This window comes from Homo sapiens, chromosome 6 (assembly GCF_000001405.40).
Source record: "Homo sapiens chromosome 6, GRCh38.p14 Primary Assembly".
NCBI lineage: Eukaryota > Metazoa > Chordata > Mammalia > Primates > Hominidae > Homo > Homo sapiens.
Genome location: NC_000006.12, coordinates 116,808,801 through 116,832,173, shown reverse-complemented (window position 1 = coordinate 116,832,173; position 23,373 = coordinate 116,808,801). Strand labels below are relative to the sequence as shown.

At 37.4% G+C, this 23,373-nt stretch overlaps 1 protein-coding gene across 5 annotated transcripts in view; it reads left to right on the top strand.

The window, feature by feature from the left end:
• The first annotated feature begins 2,933 nt into the window (after positions 1-2,933).
• Positions 2,934-23,373, top strand: part of GPRC6A (G protein-coupled receptor class C group 6 member A) — a 37,156-nt gene continuing 16,716 nt past the window's right edge. For 2 of the 5 annotated variants that reach the window (NM_148963.4, XM_017010476.2), the window contains exons 1-2: positions 3,091-3,354; positions 22,557-22,860. In NM_148963.4, the coding sequence (NP_683766.2) occupies positions 3,161-3,354; positions 22,557-22,860 (498 nt within the window). In that variant the 5' untranslated portion in view covers positions 3,091-3,160. The other 3 variants (NM_001286354.1, NM_001286355.1, XM_017010475.2) reach the window with 2 other exon arrangements.

The following is a 23,373-nucleotide window of genomic DNA, read 5'->3' as shown; positions in this document are numbered from 1 at the left end:
TAAAATGTTAAAATAAAATAAGACATGTGTCAAACCTCACTCTCTTGAGGGCTTTCTTGAGTGCGAATGTGGTATTCCCTGCCCCTGCTCCCGGAGTATCATTTCCAGCCTGATCCCATCTTCACTGCAGCCTTTCATCACTGGGGAAGCCATCCCATCTTCAGTGCTACAAACTCACCATTTTAGAATAAAGTATCTTTAATCATTGATTGTATTTTCCTACTATGCTTGTCTAACCAGGATAATGGTATCTTTATGAGAATTACTTGGGGAGTGATACTTTCTTACTTCCCTCTAAGTTATTTTAACCAGATGCCCCTCCACGTAAGGCTAGTTAAAAAAAAAAAATAGAATCTTGAGATCAAAAGGAGCAATAAACTAGTACTGTCAGTAATTCATATCTCAAAAATTTTTAAGAGGTTTTACCCTTCAGAAATAGTTACTTAAGATAAAAATCATAATCTTTTGGAATAGAAGTAGTTATTGTTGTCATTTATAAGGATTTTTTAAATAGAAAAAAATGTAGCAACTGTACATTCTAAATTATGGCTAAAAGTTCTATCCCTAATAATAGAAACTACAAGAGTGACAATAATGTTTCCAGTGGAATTCTAAAGTAATTAACGTATTCTATATCTTCCTTCAAGTTTAACTTAACGACGGATTTGCATTCCAACATGACAACAACCAGCTAGTAGTACTATTATAAAAGTCATTTCTACCATGCATTTAATGCTTGAGAAAAATCTTTGAACAATGATTTAGCCAGCTGTAGAAAGCACTACAAATTTGGCTGGGTGCGATGGCTCATGCCTGTAATCCCAGCACTCTGGGAGGCCGAGGTGGGTGGATCACCTGAGGTCAGGAGTTTGAGACCAGCCTGGTCAACATGGTGAAACCCTGTCTCTACTAAAAATACAAAAAATTATCCGGGAGTGATGGCACACACTTGTAATCCCAGCTACTTGGGAAGGTGAGGCAGGAAAATAGCTTGAACCTAGGAGGTGGAGTTGCAGTGAAATGAGATCATGCCATTGCACTCCAGCCTGGGCAACAAGAGTGAAACTCCATCTCAAAAAAAAAGAAAAAAGAAAAAAAAGAAAGAAACCACTACAAATTTAGGAAATGATAACTTTCAGTTTAGTTTTGGGAAGGGAAAGAAGGGAAAGGAACTAATTATTCAGTGCGTACCAGAATACAGAAGCTTTGCAAATCAAACCAGCTTATCTCACAACATATTCATTAGATAGAGTATCTTAACTCTTTTATAGATGAGAAAATTATTTTTCAGAGAAGTTAAGTAACTCATTCAGTGTCACATAGCTAAGTAGTGGGCAGAGCAACCCAGGTCTATCCGATTCCAAAGTTTGGGCCCTTTCTGCCACATGATACTTCATTTTACAGCACAAAAGTCTTTTTAGATGTTTTGTTTTCCTACCTTCAGAGGCTCCTTTAAAGACATAGTTCTTCAAACTTAGATTATATTTATTAAAATTTAAAAAGTGCCTTATGTTTACATTTCATCAGATTACAAAGACCCTAAATATTGTTAAAATTGCAACCTAAAAGACATTATTGGCATACCTTTTGTCATTGATTTTTCAAATAAATGTCATCTGAACAATGTATCTTCAGAATCACTCTGAGTTGCTTAATACTTACTATAATTTTGCTGGGAATTATCTGGATTTCCCATTTTTTAGTTTAGTTTTCCCAAAATCATTTTTGAACTTGTAATTACATAAGACCTTTGAGGTTATCTGAGCAAAATAACTAAATTCATGAAAATATAAATCCATCCGATACCATACACACACATATATACCAATAAATAATAAGATTAAGATGAGTAAAATGTAATTGCTAAACATCTCAAGAGTCTTCAGACTCATGTATGTTTGTTAAACTTTCTGGGCAACTGAAGTTAACCGGTTTTCATTCTAATAGAAAATTCTGCCATTAGTAAAAATGGTAAGACTTAATAAAACATTTGAAGCTGCATGATGAGCTGTGACTTCTCCACTCCTCAGTTGTCATAACCCCATAGGACTATGGAATCTAATGCTAATTTGGATAATGAAAAAATGCCACAGTGGCCATTGTACTCTTTTATTTTTTGAAATTTCTTTAAATGTATCTGCCACTGCACTCCAGCCTGGGCAACAGAATGAGACTCTATCTCAAAAAAAAAAAAAAATGTATCTGCTACCCATCAAACAAACTGTATGTATTGGATTTGAAACTGCTTGCCCATGAGATATTCATTTTTAATAAAACATTTTTAAAAGACTGATTTTATTAAATACATTTTAAAACTTTAAACTTTTTCTTAATGGTGACTACATTATTGAGGTTTCTCTATCCTCTGTTAAATTCCAAAAGACACCCAACAAATTATGTTAGTTCAGAGAATCCTAAGTACTTAAGAATATGTAGCCTGAAATCAGTCCCAAATTTATTAAAATATAGCACCCACAATAGTGGAAATGTCAATGATCTATGAACAGACCTTTCTTGTTCAAAGCAAAATACTGTATCGGACAAGTTTCATCTTGTTTTTAGTTTTACCCATCTTCACAAAAGCTACATATTTCTAACACAGGGAAAGTGGAAGTGACAAATACCTAAATTTAACTGAATTTCATTTTTTAAACAGAACTTTTCAGGAAAAATAAAAGCAGGATGGTTTTTTCTAAATACCTGATAAACTATATTGAATTATTTGTGCCTTGAATGTGATACCTTTTTAAAATGCAGAACTGTCTATTTCTAAAGTGGAAAAACTTTTCCAAACTGCTTCTTCTTGAAAGTTCTACATTCTGCTTCAAAAGAAATGCCAACGTGACTCAGGGCCCTTGACATATCACTAGAGTAAAAAAGTACCATTACAGTGAAACTTGTGTTTATAATTCTATCAGCTTTTACATCACATGACTGCTATCACATTATCTCTAACACTGGAGTGTTAAAAAGCCTGTGTTCTTATTGGTGAAATAACTGTTTTGACTATCATCAAGTATCTGAATACTGAGTGTTTCTGGCCTTTGACACTGTCCTATACCTTATAAGGTGTTTACAGGTGAAATAGGAATCTTGCTGGCACTCCGTGCACTTAATGATTCCTAAGAACTCACATGAACTGAGCAAATGAGATAGAAACATGGCATTCTTAATTATACTAATTACCTGCTTTGTGATTATTCTTGCTACTTCACAGCCTTGCCAGACCCCTGATGACTTTGTGGCTGCCACTTCTCCGGGACATATCATAATTGGAGGTTTGTTTGCTATTCATGAAAAAATGTTGTCCTCAGAAGACTCTCCCAGACGACCACAAATCCAGGAGTGTGTTGGGTGAGTAAGTCTCAAAAAACACGTTTAGATTTCAAGATTGTCATGAGACTAGGACATATAAACTGTTAACTTGTATTAATATCTAAATCATTTAAAAAAATAAACTCATATGTATTTTTAAGTTGCATATGGTTAATCTTGCAATCCTTCTTTAAAAGAGAGCTATAACAGCCCTCTATGTATAATGAAACAACCTCCAAGTGCAGAGGATATGCATGCTTTTCATTAATATATTAATTTAGATTTTGCCTTTAAAAAACAATGCCTGAAGTCACTTGAAAAGACATTGTGGCCTATTTTTCACTACAAGCATACATAACCCACATGTATTTCTATCACACACATGTATTTTGTTTTAAACACAGATCTATTATTTAATGCTTTGTTTAAAATAGACTATAGTTGAATTTTTTCTTACTAACATTTTTTTTCAACACTGCATTCATTTCATTCCAGAAATAGTCTAACTCTTTCCTGATAAATTAAGACCCTCCTCAACTCAAAGTGCTCCTTCCTGCTGGATGAACACTTTGTGTCGTGAGAGCTTACCTATGAGAAAGACATTTCACTGGCACAGTATAATGTGGAAAAGTAAAGCTGGGTGGAAGGTGTTGCAAATGGATTTTCCTTAAGGAGAACAGGATATTCTAATTCTCATTTCAGTTTTGGGACAAGCTAATTTTGTAAACTTAGGTAGATCACTTAAACTCTGAGTTCCAATTTCACTGTTGTGTATATTTTCTCATCTGTAAAACAAAGGCCTGGATAACCTCTAAGGACACAGGCAGCATCAGCTGCTGTTGCTATGGAATGTGCTCTTCATGCTTCCTTCCAACTCTAAAATTCTCATTCTATTTTTATGTTTCTATGTCTAAGTTTAATCTTGTTTTTTCTCTTACCTTTCTTTCTTTATCAACGAAGTATTTCCCAAGGCCTCTAAGAATACTTTTAGATAAAATGTGATTCCCTGTCACACTAAGATTTCTTGGCATTCTCCCTAAAAGTTGGGCACTTTTAGCTATTGTCATCATAATCATTGATTAACAGGAATACCAGAGAATGGTAAAAAAAAAAGTTAATAATTAATGAAGATTTTCAGAGCACTATGTTGGCACACAAAGAATGACTGCAGAGTTGAGGCCCACAATTGCAGGCCAACAATTAAGGATGGAAAACACTAAATAGTTATTTGACCAAATAAGGAAATTTCCTATTTTAAAAAATCACTCCGTTGAAAATCTCTTACCTTTTTGTCACTCATCAAGAGAAATGGTACTCACTCAACATTGCACAACTACTTATTAATTGCCTACCTTACCTGTACCCTATTATAGGCACTGGCACACCAACATGAATACACCAAGGAGGTTCCAACTCTAATGGAGCTTACATGTGCTGGACTCCGAAAATATTATACAATTTAATGTCAGACAACCTATTCGTTTACCTTTTTCTCTTCTATGTTTCTCTTTTTTTAATTGATACGTATTAGTTTACATATTTATGAGGTACATGTGGTATTTTGTTATATGCTTAGAATGTGTAATGATCAAGTCAGGCTTTTTGAGGTGTCCACCACTTTGATTATTGTCACTTCTATATATTGGGAACAATTCAAGTCCTCTCTTCTAGCTACATTGAAATATCCAATACATTGTTGCTAACTAGAGTAACTGTGCTGTCAAACGATTGAACTTCTATCTTTTATCTAACTATATGTTTATACCCACTAACCTACCTCTCTTTATTCCCTCTCCTACCCACCCACCTTCCCATCCTCTAGTACTTTTATAATGTCAGCTCTCTACCTTTATGATATCAATGATTTTAGCTCCCACATATGAGTGAGAACATATGATATTCGTCTTTCTGTGCCTGAGTTGTTTCACTTAACATAATGGCCTCCAGTTTCATCCATGTTGCTGCAAATGATATGATTTTATTCTTTTTTTATGGCTGAGTACTATTCTGTTGTGTATATATATCACATTTTCTTTATCTATTCTTCTATTGATGGACACAAGTTGATTCTATATCTTTCCTATTGCAAATAGTGTTATGGTAAGCATGTGAGTGCAGGTATCCCTTTAGTATACTGATTTCCTTTTCTTTGAATAGATACCCAATAGTAGGATTACTGGACTACATTTATCATTTTTAGATTTTTGAGAAATATCCATACTCTTTCCCATAGGGGTTGTACTAATTTACATTTTCTCCAATAGTGTAGATGAGTTCCCTCTTCTGCATCTCCTTGCCAGCATCTGTTTTTGTTTTTGTTTTTGTTTTGTTTTTGTCTTTTTAGTAATAGCTATTCTAACTGGGGTAAGATAATATCTCATTGTGGTTTCAATTTGCATTTCTTTGATGATTAGTGATGCTGAGCATTTTTTATATACCAGTTGGCTATTTATATCTTCTTTTGAGAATCATCTGTTCATGTTCTTTGACCACTTGTTAATGAGATTTTGCTTTTTTATTGTTGAGTTGTTCAATTTCATGCATATTCTGGATATTAGTCTGTTGTTGGATGAATAGTCTGCAAATATCTTCTCCCAGTAAGTGGTTGTCTCTTCATTCTTGATGGTTTCCTTTCCTATATAGAGATTTTTATTTTAATATACTACCATTTGTCTATTTTTCTTTTAGTTGTCTGTGCTTTTGAGGTCTTACCCGCAAAATCTTTGCCTAGACTGATGTCCTTAAGTGTTTTCCCTATGTTTTCCTCTAATAGTTTTGTAATTTGGGATCTTATGTTTAAGTTCTTATCCACCTAGAGTTGATTTTTGTATACAGTGAGGGAAAGGAGTCCAGTTTTATTCTTCTGCATATGGATATCCAATTTTCCCTGTACGATTTATTGAAGTCCTTTCCCCTGAATAGGTTCTTGGCTCCTTTGTCAAAAATCTGTTGGCAATAAATATGTGGATTTACTTTTTAGTTGTCTATTCTGTTTCCCATGATCTATGTATCTATTTTTATACCATGCTGTTTTGGTTACTATAACCTTGTGATATAATTTTGTCAGGTAGTTTGATGCCTCCAGTTTGCTCAGGAGTGCTGTGGCTATTCTGGCTTTTTTGTTGTTGCTCCATATGAATTTTAGGATTTTTTTAAATATCTGTGAAAAATGATGTTGACATTTAATAGGGATTGCATTGACTCCATATGTTGGTTTGGGTATTATGGTCATTTTAACACTATTATTTTTTCTGATCCTTGAGCATGAGATGTCTCTCCATTTATTTGTGTTCTCTTCAATTACTTTCATCAGTGTTCCATAGTTTTGCTTGTAGAGATCTTTCACCTCCTTGGTTAAATTTATTCCTATGTATTTTTTGTAGCTATTGTAAATGGGATTGCTTTCTTGATTTCTTTTTCACCTGTTTCACTACCGGTGTACAAAAATCCTATTGATATTGTATCCTGCAACTTTACTGAATTTGTTTATAAGCTCTAAGAGGATTTTTGTGGAGTCTTTTGGTATTTCTAAATATAAGATAATATCAACTGCAAAGAGGGACAATTTGACTTCCTCTATTTCAATGTGTATGCCATTTGTTTCTTTCTCTTGCCTGATTGCTTTGGCCAGGACTTCCAATACTATGTTGAATAAGAGTGGTGAAAGTGGGCATCCTTGTCTTGCTCCACTTCTTAGAGAAAAGGCTTTCCACTTTCCCCAGTTGGTATGATGTTAACTATGGGTTTGTCATATATGGCCTTTATTAATTTGAAGTATGTTCCATCTGTGCCTAGTTTGTTGAGAGTTTTTATCATGAAAGGTGTTGTATTTTATCAAATACTTTTTCTACATCTATTGAGATGATCACATAGTTTTTGTCCTTCATCCTGTTGATGTGATGTATTACATTTATTGATTTGTATATGTTAAACTATCCTTGCATGGTTGATATTACACTTAATCATGGTGTATTATCTTTGTGACGCACTGTTGAATTCTGTTCACTAGTATTTTTTGAGGATTTTTGCATGTATGTTCATCAGAGATATTGGTCTATGGTTTTCTTTTTTCATTGTGTCCTTATCTGGTTTTGGCATTAGGGTAATGCTGGCCTCATAGAATGAGTTAGAGAGAATTCCATCCTCTTGAATTTTTTGGAGTAGTTTGAGGAAGATTACTATTATTTCTTCTTTATATATTTGGTAGAATTCAGCAGCAATCCATCTGGTCCTGAGCTATTATTTATTGGGGGCTTTTTATTACTGATTTAATCTTGCTATTTGTTATTGGTCTGCTCAGGTTTTCTATTTCTTCCTTATTTAATCTTGGTAGACTGTATGTTTCCAGGAATTTTCACATTTCCTCTAGGTTTTTCCATTTATTAGCATATAATTGTTCCTAATAGTCTCTGATAATCTTTTGTATTTCTGTGGTATCAGTTGTAATGTCTCCTTTTTCATCTCTGATTTTGTTTATTTGGGTCTTCTCTCTTCTTTTTTCAGTTAATCTAGCTAATGATTTATAAATTTTTTTTATCTTTTTGAAGAATCAACTTTTCATTTTATTGATCCTTTGTTTTTTTTAGTCTCTATTTCATTTAGCTCTGCTAGAACTTTATTATTTCTTTCCTTCTACTAATTTTGGGTTTTATGTTTTTTTGCTTTTCTAGTTCCTTAAGATACATTCTTAGGTTATTTGAAATCTTTCTTCTTTTTCGTTGTAGATGTTCATTGCTATATACTTCCTTCTTAGTACTGCTTTTGCTGTATCCCACTGGCTTTGGTATGTTATTGATATGGTTTGGATCTGTGTCTTTGCCCAAATCTCATATCAAATTATAATCCCTAATGTTGGAGATGGAGCCTGGTAGGAGGTGATTGGATCATGGGAGCAGTTTCTTATGAATGGCTTAGCACCATCCCCCTAGTGCTGTTCTTATGATACAGTTCTCATAAGATCTGGTTGTTTAAAAGTGTGTAGCATATCCCCTCCCTCTTTCTTCCTCCTAATCTGGCCATGTAAGGTGCCAGCTCCCTCTTTGCCTTCTGCCATAATTATAAGTTTCCTGAGGCCTCCCAAGTTGCTAAGCAGATGTTAGCATCATGCTTCCTGTACAGCCAAGAGATCCATGAGCCAATTAAACCTCTTTTCTTTATAAATTACTAAGTCTCAGGTATTTTTTATTCAATGCAAGAATGGGCTAATACAGAAACTTGGTACCAGAGAGGTGGGGCATTGCTATAAAGATATCTGAAAATGTGGAAGCAGCTCTGGAACTGGGTAATGGCCAGTGGTTGCAACAGTTTGGAGGGCTCCAAAGAAGACAGGAAGATGAAGGAAACTTTGGAACTTCCTAGAGACTTGTTAAATTGTTGTGACCAAAATGATGATGGTGATATATATGGACAATGGAGTTCAGGCTGAAGAGGTCTCAAATGGAGATGAGGAACTTATTAGGAACTGGAGTAAAGGTTATCTTTGCTATGCATTAGCAAAGAACTTGGTGGCATTGTGCCCCTGCCCAGGGATCTGTGGAACTTTGAACTTGAGAGTGATGATTTAGGGTATCTGGCAGAAGAAATTTCTAAGCAGCAAAGCAGTCAAGAATTTGCCTGGCTGCTTTTAATAGCCTAGCTCATATGTGTGAGCAAGGAAATGATGTAAAACTGGAACTTATATTTAAAACAGAAGGAGAGTGTAAAAGTTTGGAAAATTTGCAGCCCAGCCATGTGTTAGAAAAAACAAAACAAAAAACAAACAAACAAACAAAAATTTCTGGGGGAGGAATTGAAGCTGGCTGCAAAAATTTGCATTAAATAAAGAGAAGTTGAATGTTAATAGCCAAGACAATGAGAAGACTTCAAAGGAATTTCAGAGACCTCCATGGCAGCCCCTCCCATCACAGGCCCAGAGGTCTAGGAGGGAAGAATGATTTCTTTCTTTCTTTCTTTTTTTTTTTTTTTTTTAGAGACTAGTAATTGTTTCTTTTTTTTTATTATTATACTTTAAGTTTTAGGGTACATGTGCACATTGTACAGGTTAGTTACATTTGTATACCTGTGCCATGCTGGTGCGCTGCACCCACTAACTCGTCATCTAGCATTAGGTATATCTCCCAATGCTATCCCTCCCCCCTCCCCCAACCCACAACAGTTCCCAGAGTGTGATATTCCCCTTCCTGTGTCCATGTGATCTCATTGTTCAATTCCCACCTATAAGTGAGAATATGCGGTGTTTGGTTTTTTGTTCTTGCGATAGTTTACTGAGAATGATGATTTCCAATTTCATCCATGTCCCTACAAAGGACATGAACTCATCATTTTTTATGGCTGCATAGTATTCCATGGTGTATATGTGCCACATTTTCTTAATCCAGTCTATCATTGTTGGACATTTGGCTTGGTTCCAAGTCTTTGCTATTGTGAATAATGCCGCAATAAACATACGTGTGCATGTGTCTTTATAGCAGCATGATTTATAATCCTTTGGGTATATACCCAGTAATGGGATGGCTGGGTCAAATGGTATTTCTAGTTCTAGATCCCTGAGGAATCGCCACACTGACTTCCACAATGGTTGAACTAGTTTACAGTCCCACCAACAGTGTAAAAGTGTTCCTATTTCTCCACATCCTCTCCAGCACCTGTTGTTTCCTGACTTTTTAATGATTGCCATTCTAACTGGTGTGAGATGGTATCTCATTGTGGTTTTGATTTGCATTTCTCTGATGGCCAGTGATGATGAGCATTTTTTCATGTGTGTTTTGGCTGCATAAATGTCTTCTTTTGAGAAGTGTCTGTTCATGTCCTTCACCCACTTTTTGATGGGGTTGTTCGTTTTTTTCTTGTAAATTTGTTTGAGTTCATTGTAGATTCTGGATATTAGACCTTTGTCAGATGAGTAGGTTGTGAAAATTTTCTCCCATTTTGTAGGTTGCCTGTTCACTCTGATGGTAGTTTCTTTTGCTGTGCAGAAGCTCTTTACTTTAATTAGATCCCATTTGTCAATTTTGGCTTTTGTTGCCATTGCTTTTGGTGTTTTAGACATGAAGTCCTTGCCCATGCCTATGTCCTGAATGGTAATGCCTAGGTTTTCTTCTAGGGTTTTTATGGTTTTAGGTCTAACGTTTAAGTCTTTAATCCATGTTGAATTGATTTTTGTCTAAGGTGTAAGGAAGGGATCCAGTTTCAGCTTTCTACATATGGCTAGCCAGTTTTCCCAGCACCATTTATTAAATAGGGAATCCTTTCCCCATTGCTTGTTTTTCTCAGGTTTGTCAAAGATCAGATAGTTGTAGATATGTGACGTTATTTCTGAGGGCTCTGTTCTGTTCCATTGATCTATATCTCTGTTTTGGTACCGGTACCATGCTGTTTTGGTTACTGTCGCCTTGTAGTATAGTTTGAAGTCAGGTAGCGTGATGCCTCCAGCTTTGTTCTTTTGGCTTAGGATTGACTTGGCGATGCGGGCTCTTTTTTGGTTCCATATGAACTTTAAAGTAGTTTTTTGCAATTCTGTGAAGAAAGGCATTGGTAGCTTGATGGGGATGGCATTGAATCTGTAAATTACCTTGGGCAGTATGGCCATTTTCACAATATTGATTCTTCTTACCCATGAGCATGGAATGTTCTTCCATTTGTTTGTATCCTCTTTTATTTCCTTGAGCAGTGGTTTGTAGTTCTCCTTGAAGAGGTCCTTCACATCCCTTGGAAGTTGGATTCCTAGGTATTTTATTCTCTTTGAAGCAATTGTGAATGGGAGTTCACTCATGATTTGGCTCTCTGTTTGTCTGTTGTTGGTGTATAAGAATGCTTGTGATTTTTGTACATTGATTTTGTATCCTGAGACTTTGCTGAAGTTGCTTATCAGCTTAAGGAGATTTTGGGCTTAGACAATGGGGTTTTCTAGATATACAATCATGTCATCTGCAAACAGGGACAATTTGATTTCCTCTTTTCCTAATTGAATACCCTTTATTTCCTTCTCCTGCCTAATTGCCCTGGCCAGAACTTCCAACACTACGTTGAATAGGAGTGGTGAGAGAGGGCATCCCTGTCTTGTGCCAGTTTTCAAAGGGAATGCTTCCAGTTTTTGCCCATTCAGTATGATATTGGCTGTGGGTTTGTCATAGATAGCTCTTATTATTTTGAAATATGTCACATCAATACCTAATTTATTGAGAGTTTTTAGCATGAAGGGTTGTTGAATTTTGTCAAAGGCTTTTTCTGCATCTATTGAGATAATCATGTGGTTTTTGTCTTTGGCTCTGTTTATATGCTGGATTACATTTATTGATTTGCATATATTGAACCAGCCTTGCATCCCAGGGATGAAGCCCACTTGATCATGGTGGATAAGCTTTTTGATGTGCTGCTGGATTCGTTTTGCCAGTATTTTATTGAGGATTTTTGCATCCATGTTCATCAAGGATATTGGTCTAAAATTCTCTTTTTTGGTTGTGTCTCTGCCCAGCTTTGGTATCAGAATGATGCTGGCCTCATAAAATGAGTTAGGGAGGATTCCCTCTTTTTCTATTGATCGGAATAGTTTCAGAAGGAATGGTACCAGTTCCTCCTTTTACCTCTGCTAGAATTCAGCTGTGAATCCATCTGGTCCTGGACTCTTTTTGGTTGGTAAACTATTGATTATTGCCACAATTTCAGATCCTGTTATTGGTCTATTCAGAGATTCAACTTCTTCCTGGTTTAGTCTTGGGAGAGTGTATGTGTCAAGGAATTTATCCATTTCTTCTAGATTTTCTAGTTTATTTGCATGAGGTGTTTGTAGTATTCTCTGATGGTAGTTTGTATTTCTGTGGGATCGGTGGTGATATCCCTTTTATCATTTTTTATTGCATCTATTTGATTCTTCTCTCTTTTTTTCTTTATTAGTCTTGCTAGCGGTCTATCAATTTTGTTGATCCTTTCAAAAAACCAGCTCCTGGATTCATTAATTTTTTGAAGGGTTTTTTGTGTCTCTATTTCCTTCAGTTCTGCTCTGATTTTAGTTATTTCTTGCCTTCTGCTAGCTATTGAATGTGTTTGCTCTTGCTTTTCTAGTTCTTTTAATTGTGATGTTAGGGTGTCAATTTTGGATCTTTCCTGCTTTCTCTTGTGGGCATTTAGTGCTATAAATTTCCCTCTACACACTGCTTTGAATGTGTCCCAGAGACTCTGGTATGTTGTGTCTTTGTTCTTGTTGGTTTCAAAGAACATCTTTATTTCTGCCTTCATTTCATTATGTACCCAGTAGTCATTCAGGAGCAGGTTGTTCAGTTTCCATGTATTTGAGCGGTTTTGAGTGAGATTCTTAATCCTGAGTTCTAGTTTGATTGCACTGTGGTCTGAGAGATAGTTTGTTATAATCTCTCTTCTTTTACATTTGCTGAGGAGAGCTTTACTTCCAAGTATGTGGTCAATTTTGGAATAGGTGTGGTGTGGTGCTGAAAAAAATGTATATTCTGTTGATTTGGGGTGGAGAGTTCTGTAGATGTCTATTAGGTCCACTTGGTGCAGAGCTGAGTTCAATTCCTGGGTATCCTTGTTGACTTTCTGTCTCGTTGATCTGTCTAATGTTGACAGTGGGGTGTTAAAGTCTCCCATTATTAATGTGTGGGAGTCTAAGTCTCTTTGTAGGTCACTCAGGACTTGCTTTATGAATCTGGGTGCTCCTGTGTTGGGTGCATATATATTTAGGATAGTTAGCTCTTCTTGTTGAATGGATCCCTTTACCATTATGTAATGGCCTTCTTTGTCTCTTTTGATCTTTGTTGGTTTAGAGTCTGTTTTATCAGAGACTAGGATTGCAACCCCTGCCTTTTTTTGTTTTCCATTTGCTTGGTAGATCTTCGTCCATCCTTTTATTTTGAGCCTATGTGTGTCTCTGCACGTGAGATGGGTTTCCTGAATACAGCACACTGATGAGTCTTGACTCTTTATCCAATCTGCCAGTCTGTGTCTTTTAATTGGAGCATTTAGTCCATTTACATTTAAAGTTAATATTGTTATGTGTGAATTTGATCCTGTCATTATAATGATAGCTGGTTATTTTGTTCGTTAGTTGATGCAGTTTCTTCCTAGTCTCGATGGTCTTTACATTTTGGCATGATTTTGCAGCGGCTGGTACCCATTGTTCCCTTCCATGTTTAGCGCTTCCTTCAGGAGCTCTTTTAGGGCAGGCCTGGTGGTGACAAAATCTCTCAGCATTTGCTTGTCTGTAAAGTATTTTATTTCTCCTTTGCTTATGAAGCTTAGTTTGGCTGGATATGAAATTCTGGGTTGAAAATTCTTTTTTTTTTTTTTTTTTTTTTTTTTTTTTTTTTTTTTAGACGGAGTCTCGCTCTGTCGCCCAGGCTGGAGTGCAGTGGCGGGATCTCGGCTCACTGCAAGCTCCGCCTCCCGGGTTCACGCCATTCTCCTGCCTCAGCCTCCCAAGTAGCTGGGACTACAGGCGCCCGCCACTACGCCCGGCTAATTTTTTGTATTTTTAGTAGAGACAGGGTTTCACCGTGTTAGCCGGGATGGTCTCGATCTCCTGACCTCGTGATCCGCCCGCCTCGGCCTCCCAAAGTGCTGGGATTACAGGCGTGAGCCACCGCGCCCGGCCGAAAATTCTTTTCTTTAAGAATGTTGAATATTGGCCCCCACTCTCTTCTGGCTTGTAGGGTTTCTGCTGAGAGATCCGCTGTTAGTCTGATGGGCTTCCCTTTGAGGGTAACCCAACCTTTCTCTCTGGCTGCCCTTAACATTTTCTCCTTCATTTCAACTTTGGTGAATCTGACAATTACATGTCTTGGAGTTGCTCTTCTCGAGGAGTATCTTTGTGGCGTTCTCTGTATTTCCTGAATCTGAACATTGGCCTGCCTTGCTAGATTGGGGAAGTTCTCCTGGATAATATCCTGCAGAGTGTTTTCCAACTTGGTTCCATTCTCCCCATCACTTTCAGGTACACCAATCAGACGTAGATTTGGTCTTTTCACATAGTCCCATATTTCTTGGAGGCTTTGCTCATTTCTTTTTATTCTTTTTTCTCTAACCTTCCCTTCTCGCTTCATTTCATTCCTTTCATCTTCCATTGCTGATACCCTTTCTTCCAGTTGATCGCATCGGCTCCTGAGGCTTCTGCATTCTTCACGTAGTTCTCGAGCCTTGGCTTTCAGCTCCATCAGCTCCTTTAAGCACTTCTCTGTATTGGTTATTCTAGCTATACATTTGTCTAAATTTTTTTCAAAGTTTTCAACTTCTTTGCCTTTGGTTTGAATGTCCTCCCATAGCTCAGAGTAATTTGATCATCTGAAGCCTTCTTCTCTCAGCTCGTCATTCTCCATCCAGCTTTGTTCTGTTGCTGGTGAGGAACTGCGTTCCTTTGGAGGAGGAGAGGTGCTCTGCTTTTTAGAGTTTCCAGTTTTTCTGTTCTGTTTTTTCCCCATCTTTGTGGTTTTATCTACTTTTGGTCTTTGATGATGGTGATGTACAGATGGGTTTTTGGTGTGGATGTCCTTTCTGTTTGTTAGTTTTCCTTCTAACAGACAGGACCCTCAGCTGCAGGTCTGTTGGAATACGCTGCCGTGTGAGATGTCAGTGTGCCCCTGCTGGGGGGTGCCTCCCAGTTAGGCTGCTCGGGGGTCAGGGGTCAGGGACCCACTTGAGGAGGCAGTCTGCCCATTCTCAGATCTCCAGCTGCGTGCTGGGAGAACCACTGCTCTCTTCAAAGCTGTCAGACAGGGACATTTAAGTCTGCAGAGGTTACTGCTGTCTTTTTGTTTGTCTGTGCCCTGCCCCCAGAGGTGGAGCCTACAGAGGCAGGCAGGCCTCCTTGAGCTGTGGTGGGCTCCACCCAGTTCAAGCTTCCCGGCTGCTTTGTTTACCTAAGCGAGCCTGGGCAATGGCGGGCGCCCCTCCCCCAGCCTCGCTGCCACCTTGCAGTTTGATCTCAGACTGCTGTGCTAGCAATCAGTGAGATTCCGTGGGCGTAGGACCCTCTGAGCCAGGTGCGGGATATAATCTCGTAGTGCGCCGTTTTTTAAGCCTGTCAGAAAAGCGCAGTATTCGGGTGGGAGTGACCCGATTTTCCAGGTGCGTCCGTCTCCCCTTTCTTTGACTCGGAAAGGGAACTCCCTGACCCCTTGCGCTTCCCAAGTGAGGCAATGCCTCGCCCTGCTTCGGTTCGCGCACGGTGCGTGCACCCACTGACCTGCGCCCACTGTCTGGCACTCCCTAGTGAGATGAACCCGGTACCTCAGATGGAAATGCAGAAATCACCCGTCTTCTGCGTCGCTCATGCTGGGAGCTGTAGACCGGAGCTGTTCCTATTCGGCCATCTTGGCTCCTCCCTCAGAAGAATGATTTATTGAGCTGAGACCAGGGCCCTGCTGCTGCTTGTGTCCCAGCCACTTCAGCTTCAGCTTGTACCAGCATCCCCTGGGTGTCAGACATGGAGTTAAAAGAGATTATTTTGGAGCTTTAAGATGTAATGATTGCGCTGCTGGGTTTGGGATTTACATGGGCCTGTAGGCCCTTTCCTTTGGCCAATTTCTCCCTTTTCAAATAGGAGTATTTACCAAATGCCTGTACTCCCATTGTGTCTTAGAAGTAATTAACTTATTTTTTATTTTGCAGGCTCATAGGCAGAAGGGACTACTCAGATGAGACTTTGGACTTCGGACTTTTGAGTTAATGCTAGAATTAGTTAAGACACTGGGAGACTGGTGAGAAGGAATGATTGTATTCTGCAATGTGAGAAGGACATGAGATTTGGGAGGGAGCCAGGGATGGAATATAAAAGTGTGTTACATCTTCCCTCTCTCTTTCTTCCTTTTGCTCTGGCTATGTGAGGTGCTAACGCCCCCCTTTGCCTTCCACCTTGATTGTGTATGTCCTGAGACCTCCCAAGAAACTGAGCAGATGCCAGCATTATGCTTCCAGTACAGCCTGCAGGACCATGAGCCAATTAAACCTCTTTTCTTTACAAATTACCCAATCTCAGCTATTTTCTTATAGCAATGTGAGAAGGGACTAATACATTCATGTTTCCATTTTCATTTCTTTTAATAAGATTTTTTATTTCCATCTTAATTTCTTCATTAATCCAATGGTTATTCAGAAGCATGTGGTTTAATTTCTGCTGATTTGTATAGTTTCCAAAGTTCCTCTTGTTGTTATTTCTAATTTTAGTTCATTGCAGCCTGAGAATATATTTGATATAATTTTTATTTTTGTAAATTTGTTAAGACTTGTTTTATGGCCTAATATATGGCCTGATCTGGAGAATGTTCCATGCACTGAGAAGAATGTGTATTCTACAGTTGTTGGACAAAATGTTCTGTAAATGTCTGTTGGGTCCACTTGGTCTAAAGTTCAATTTAAGTCCTTTTCTTGAGATGAAGTCACACTCTGTTGCCCAGGCTGGAGTGCAGTGGTGCAATCTTGGCTCACTGCAACCTCCACTTCCTGGGTTCAAGCGATCCTTCCACCTCAGCCTCCTAAGTAGCTGGGATCACAGGTGTGTACCACCATGCCTAGCTAATTTTTGTATTTTTAGTAGAGTTGGGGTTTCATCATGTTGGCCAGGCTGCTCTTAAAGTCCTGACCTCAAGTGATCCACCTGCCTCAGCCTCCCAAAGTGCTGGGATTACAGGGGTGAGCTACCATGCCTGGTCGTAAGTTTGTTATATTTTTGCCAATTTTCTGTCTAGATGATCCACCTAATGCTCATTAGGGTGTCAAAGTTTTCCACTATTATTGTATTGCAGTCTCTTTCTTTTTAGATCTGGTAATTTTTGCTTTATGAATCTGGGTGCTTCAGTGTTGGTTGCATATAAATTTTAAATTATTTCCTCTTCCTGGAAAGATTCCTTATCATTATATAATGACCTTCTTTTACTTTTTCTACTATGTTTGGCTTACAGTGTGTTTTATCTGGTATAAATATAGCTACTTCTGCTCACTTTTGGTTTTTGTTTGCATGAGATATCTTTTTCTATCCCTTTACTTTCAGTCTATATGTGCTTTTATATGTAAAGTGCATTTCTTGTAAGTTGCATATAATTGGATCATGCTTTTTTTATTTATACAGCCAGTCTATATCTCTTTTTTTTCTTTTTTTAAATTATACTTTAATTTCTAGGGTACATGTGCACAACTTGCAGGTTTGATACTTAGGTATACATGAGCCATGTTGGTTTGCTGCACCCACGAACTCATCATTTACATTAAGTATTTCTCCTAATGCTATCCCTCCCCCATCCCCCCACCACATGACAAGCCCCAGTGTGTGATGTTCCCTGCCCTGTGTCCAAGTGATCTCATTGCTCAATTCCCACCTATGAGTGAGAACATGTGGTGTCTGGTTTTCTGTCCTTGTGACAGTTTGCTGAGAAGGATGGTTTCCAGCTTCATCCATGTCCCTACAAAGGACATGAACTCATCCTTTTTATGGCTGCATAGTACTCCATGGTGTATATGTGCCACATTTTTTTAATCCAGTCTATTATTGATGGACATTTGGGTTGGTTGCAAGTCTTTGCTATTGTGAATAGTGCCACAATAAACATATGTGTGCATGTGTCTTTATAGTAGCATGATTTATAATCCTTTGGGTATATACCCAGTAATGAGATTGCTAGGTCAAATGATAATTCCAGTTCTAGATCCTTGAGGAATCGCCACACTGTCTTCCACAATGGTTGAACCAATTTACACTCCCACCAGCAGTATAAAAGCATTCCTATTTCTCCACATCCTCTCCAGCATCTGTTGTTTCCTGACTTTTTAATGATCTCCATTCTAGCTGGTGTGAGATGGTATCTCACTGTGGTTTTGATTTGCTTTTCTCTGATGACCAGGAATGATGAGCATTTTTTCATGTGTCTGTTGGCTGCATACATGTCTTCTTTTGAGAAGTGTCTGTTCATATCCTTCACCCACTTTTTGAAGGGGTTGTTTTTTCTTGTAAATTTGTTTGAGTTCTTTGTAGATTCTAGATATTAGCCCTTTCTCAGGTGGGTAGATTGCAATAATTTTCTCCCATTCTGTAAGTTGCCTGTTCACTCTAATGGTAGTTTCTTTTGCCATGCAGAAGCTCGTTAGTTTAATTAGATCCCATTTGTCTATTTTGGCTTTTGTTGCCATTGCTTTTGGTGTTTTAGTCATGAAGTCCTTGCCCATGCCTATGTCCTGAATGGTACTGCCTAGGTTTTCTTCTAGGGTTTTTATGGTTTTAGGTATAACATTTAAGTCTTTAATCCATCTTGAATTAACTTTTGTATAAGGTGTAAGGAAGGGATCCGGTTTCAGCTTTCTGCATATGGCTAGCCAGCTTTCCCAGCACCATTTATTAAACAGGGAATCCCTTCCCTGTTTCTTATTTTTATCAGATTTATCAAAGATCAGATGATTGTAGATGTGTAGTATTATTCCTGAGGCCGCTGTTCTGTTCCATTGGTCTATATCTCCTTTTTGGTACCAGTACCATGCTGTTTTGGTTACTGTAGCCTTGTAGTATAGTTTGAAGTCAGGTAGCACAATGCCTCCAGCTTTGTTCTTTTTGCTTAGGATTATCTTGGCAATGTGGGCTCTTTTTTGGTTCCATATGAACTTTAAAGTAAGTTTTTCCAATTCTGTGAAGAAAGTCATTGGTAGCTTGATGGGGATGGCATTGAATCTATAAATTACCTTGGGTAGTATGGCCATTTTCATGATATTGATGCTTCTATCCATGAGCATGGAATATTCTTCCATTTGTTTGTGTCTTCTTTTATTTCATTGAGCAGTGGTTTGTAGTTCTCCTTGAAGAGGTCCTTCACATCCCTTGTAAGTTGGATTCCTAGGTATTTTATTATCTTTGAAGCAATTGTGAATGGGAGTTCACTCATGATTTGTCTCTCTGTTTGTCTGTTATTGGTGTATAGGAATGCTTGTGATTTTTGCACATTGATTTTGTATTCTGAGACTTTGCTGAAGTTGCTTATCAGCTTAAGGAGATTTTTGGCTGAGATGATGGGGTTTTCTAAACATACAGTCATGTCATCTGCCAACAGGGACAATTTAACTTCCTCATTTCCTAATTGAATACCGTTTATTTCTTTATCTTGCCTGATTGCCCTGGCCAGAACTTCCAACACTATGTTGAATAGGAGTGGTGAGAGAGGGCATCCTTGTCTTGTGCCAGTTTTCAAAGGGAATGCTTCCAGTTTTTGCCCATTTAGTATAATATTGACAGCCAGTCTATGTCTCTTAAGAGGGGAATTTAATCCTTTTAAATCCAAGGTTAATGTTGACATATGAGGCTTTGTTCCTGTCATGTTCTTGCTTACCGTTTGTTTTATATATTCTATGTTGTTTTCTTTTTCTCATTTTTTGTCATTGTGGTTTGGTAGATGAATATCTACAGTAGTATCATTTGAGTCCTTCCTCTTTTTTACCATTGTTTTACACTTTCTTGTGTTTTCACCATGATAAGCATCATCATTTCACTTCCAAGTATAGAACTCCCTTGAGCATTTTAGGGCCAGTCTAGTGGTGCTGAATTCCCTCCGCTTTTGCTTCTCTAGGAACAACTTTATTTCTCCTCTATTTATGAAGGATAAGTTTTCTGGATATAGTATCCTTGGCTGGCAGGGTTTTTTCCTCAACACTTTAAATATATCATCTCATTCTCTTCTGGCCTATAAGGTTTCTGCTGAGATATCCTCTGTTAGTATAATGGGATTTCCTTTAGAGGTGACTAAATTCTTTTCTCACTGTTTTTAGAATTCTCTCTTTGTCATTGACTTTAGACATTTTGACTATAATGTGCTGTGGAGAATTTGTGCATTGTATCTGTTTAGGGATTGCTGGGCCTCCTGTATCTGGATGTCTAAACCTCTTGCTGGATGTGGAAAGTTTTTATCTATTATTTTGTTATATATGTTTAACTATTTCAATATCTCTTTACCTTCTGGGATATCAATAATTTGTATATTTGGTCACTTCATGGTGTTCCATATACCATGAAGGCTTTGTTTAGCTTTTTTTAATTCTTTTTTTTTCCTTTATATTTTCATGGCTGGGTTATTTCAAAAGTTGAACCTGAACTGTCTTCAGGTTCAGAGGTTCTTTTGTCTGCTTGAACTAATCTATTGTTGAAGCTTTCAAATGTGTTATGTTGTTCATTCAATGAATTGTTCAGTTGCAGAATTTCTGTTTGATTCTTTTATGACATCTATGTCTTTGGTAAACTTCTCATTCATATCCTGAATTGTTTTTCAGATTTCTTTGTATTGTTTTTCAGAATTATCTTGTATCTCACTATCCTTCTTTAGAATCTAATTTGGATTCTTTTTCTGGAATTTCATTAATTGCTTTTTGATTGAGATCTGTTTCTGGAGAATTATTGTGTTCCTTTTTTAAAAAATTTATTTACATTTTTTTTCTTAAAGACCAGTATGATAGTATATCTTCCTTTAAAAGTGTCATTTTCCTGGCTTTTTCATGTTTCCTGTGTTCTTATGTTAATATATATACATCTGATGTTTCAGTTGCTTCTTCCAATTTTTAAAAATTTGTTTTTGTAGGGGGAGAATGTTTCCTAAGGATGAATAGATAGTGTTGGTTGGGCAGGGTCCTTTGGCTTTTATTCTGGTTGCAGTAGTAGTGTAGTTTCTTTGATTTTTTTGGCCATGACTGGCATAAGTGCCATCTGACATTTCCTCAGTGGCCTAGGTACAGTTATTAATGGGAGCTATGATGCAGTTTTGCTGGTGACTGGGATGCCAAGTAAGCCAGTCTCTGAGCCCAAGTGGTGTTAGCAATGGGCTAAGTATGCCCATCATTGTGTCCCAGGGCAGTATACACTGGCACCAGTGTTAGGTCAAACCAGGCCAATTCTTGGGCCTCCAGGTGCCTTACTCAAATACTGATAGTGGAAGCCATGGAACCAGCAGGTTGGTGATTTCTTGGGTTCTTGGGACACTTGTGTGGCATGCATGATGGCAACGGCAGTGACAGGATGACCCTCTAAGTCCTGAGTGGTGCTGGCTAATGTTGGTTGTGCCAATGATGAGCTGGGCTTACTTCTCTTTTTTAATTGAAATTGTAATGTTAAAATTAAAATTTTAATTAAATTAAAATTTCTTAATTAAATTTAAAATTTTAATAAAGAGGGATATTATTGTTCAGGGTTTTGATATACTTTCTTTTTAGTTCATTATGTTTTGATAAATTAAGCTATTTGAATATTACTATTTGTCATTGCAAGCCATGGTTCACAATGACAAATAGTAATCTTCAAATAGTTTAACTTACTAATATATTTTTATTATTATTTACTTTATTCTTTTAGGGAGGGGAGAAGAGTATCTGGCCAAGAAGCAACAAGTGCAAAATTGGAATGTCCAAAGAATAGCAAAAAATTTAATCTGGCTATATCAGTGAAGCAGAAGGAAACATAGTAAGAGATGCATTTGTAGAGATAGAACCATCTAAACATGGTTCACAATGACAAATAGTAATATTCAAATAGCTTAATTATCAAAACTTAATGAACTAAAAAGAAACTAGAATATCAAACCCTGAACAATAATATCCCCCTTTATTCATTTTAAAAATGTGTATTGAACCCTTATTATATATTAGGCACTATTTGTAATAACTTGTATATAGTGGTGGATGAAATAAACTTAACAGTAAATCTGTAATCAGACAACTCAGTGCTCTGGAATAATCACAAATCAAGATGTATAAAAAATGTACTCTGAATGTGGAAATAGCTATGTCTCAGAACTAAAATAAGACACTTTATCTAGGAGCAGGCTGTTAAGCTTTAACCAAAGCTGTTTAAATGTAATTCTTAAGAGTCTTATTTATCTGGTTTCCAATCACACAGACTAGAATCAGAAAACTAAAAGACAGGCTTATGAGTCTAAAAAGCAAGCATTTTGACAGCAATAAAATGCTGATCTCTAACTACAAAAAGGAACAAAAATCAAACACATCTTCATATTGCAGTGTTCAAAATGATCAAAAAATTCACCAAGAAAAGGTTAAATCCTGTAGCATAGACTCCTTTTAAGAAACTGTGGGTTCTTATATTACCCTTCATAAATATTATCATGAAAAATTGTTTTTAAATAAAATTTAGATCATTTAAGAGATAAGCTTCACTCATCCAGAAATTGCTATGAGGAGATGTAGGCAAAATGAGATACAGCCATGTCCATAGAAGAGTTATGTTCTGATTTCAAAAAATACTTGTTTCCCAACAGCTTTGAAATATCAGTTTTTCTTCAAACTCTTGCCATGATACACAGCATTGAGATGATCAACAATTCAACACTCTTACCTGGAGTCAAACTGGGGTATGAAATCTATGACACTTGTACAGAAGTCACAGTGGCAATGGCAGCCACTCTGAGGTTTCTTTCTAAATTCAACTGCTCCAGAGAAACTGTGGAGTTTAAGTGTGACTATTCCAGCTACATGCCAAGAGTTAAGGCTGTCATAGGTTCTGGGTACTCAGAAATAACTATGGCTGTCTCCAGGATGTTGAATTTACAGCTCATGCCACAGGTAGGTTTTGTGCTACCTCCAAACATTGCTTTTGATCACATTTGTTATTATGAAAGGATCAGGGAAACCTGAGGAAACTAGTTAGGGAGTCACTTTTACTTTAACTTTTCTTTCTCTTTAGTTAAAGAAAGGATGCACACCATTACAGAGAGTATAGTGAAAAAGTACTAAGGGAGTAATTACCCCTCAGTCTATCAGGTCTAGTATCTGAGAAAGCAGCAAGTGCAGAGTTGGAATGCCCAAAGAATAGCAAAAAGGCCAATCTGGCTAGATCAGCTGAAGCAAAAGGAAACATAGTAAGAGATGCTTTTGTAGAGACAGGCAAAGCCTGGGTCATGTAGCATCTTGTAAGCCCTGGGACGGTTTGCATGTTGTTCTGAATATGATGGGAAGGCTTTGAGCAAAGACTGTAGAACTATTTATTTCCCTGGAATGCAAGCCAATAACCAGAAAATAAGCAAAAAGATCTCTGAAAAAAAAAATCAGATATCACAGCACTGTGTACTAAGTTAT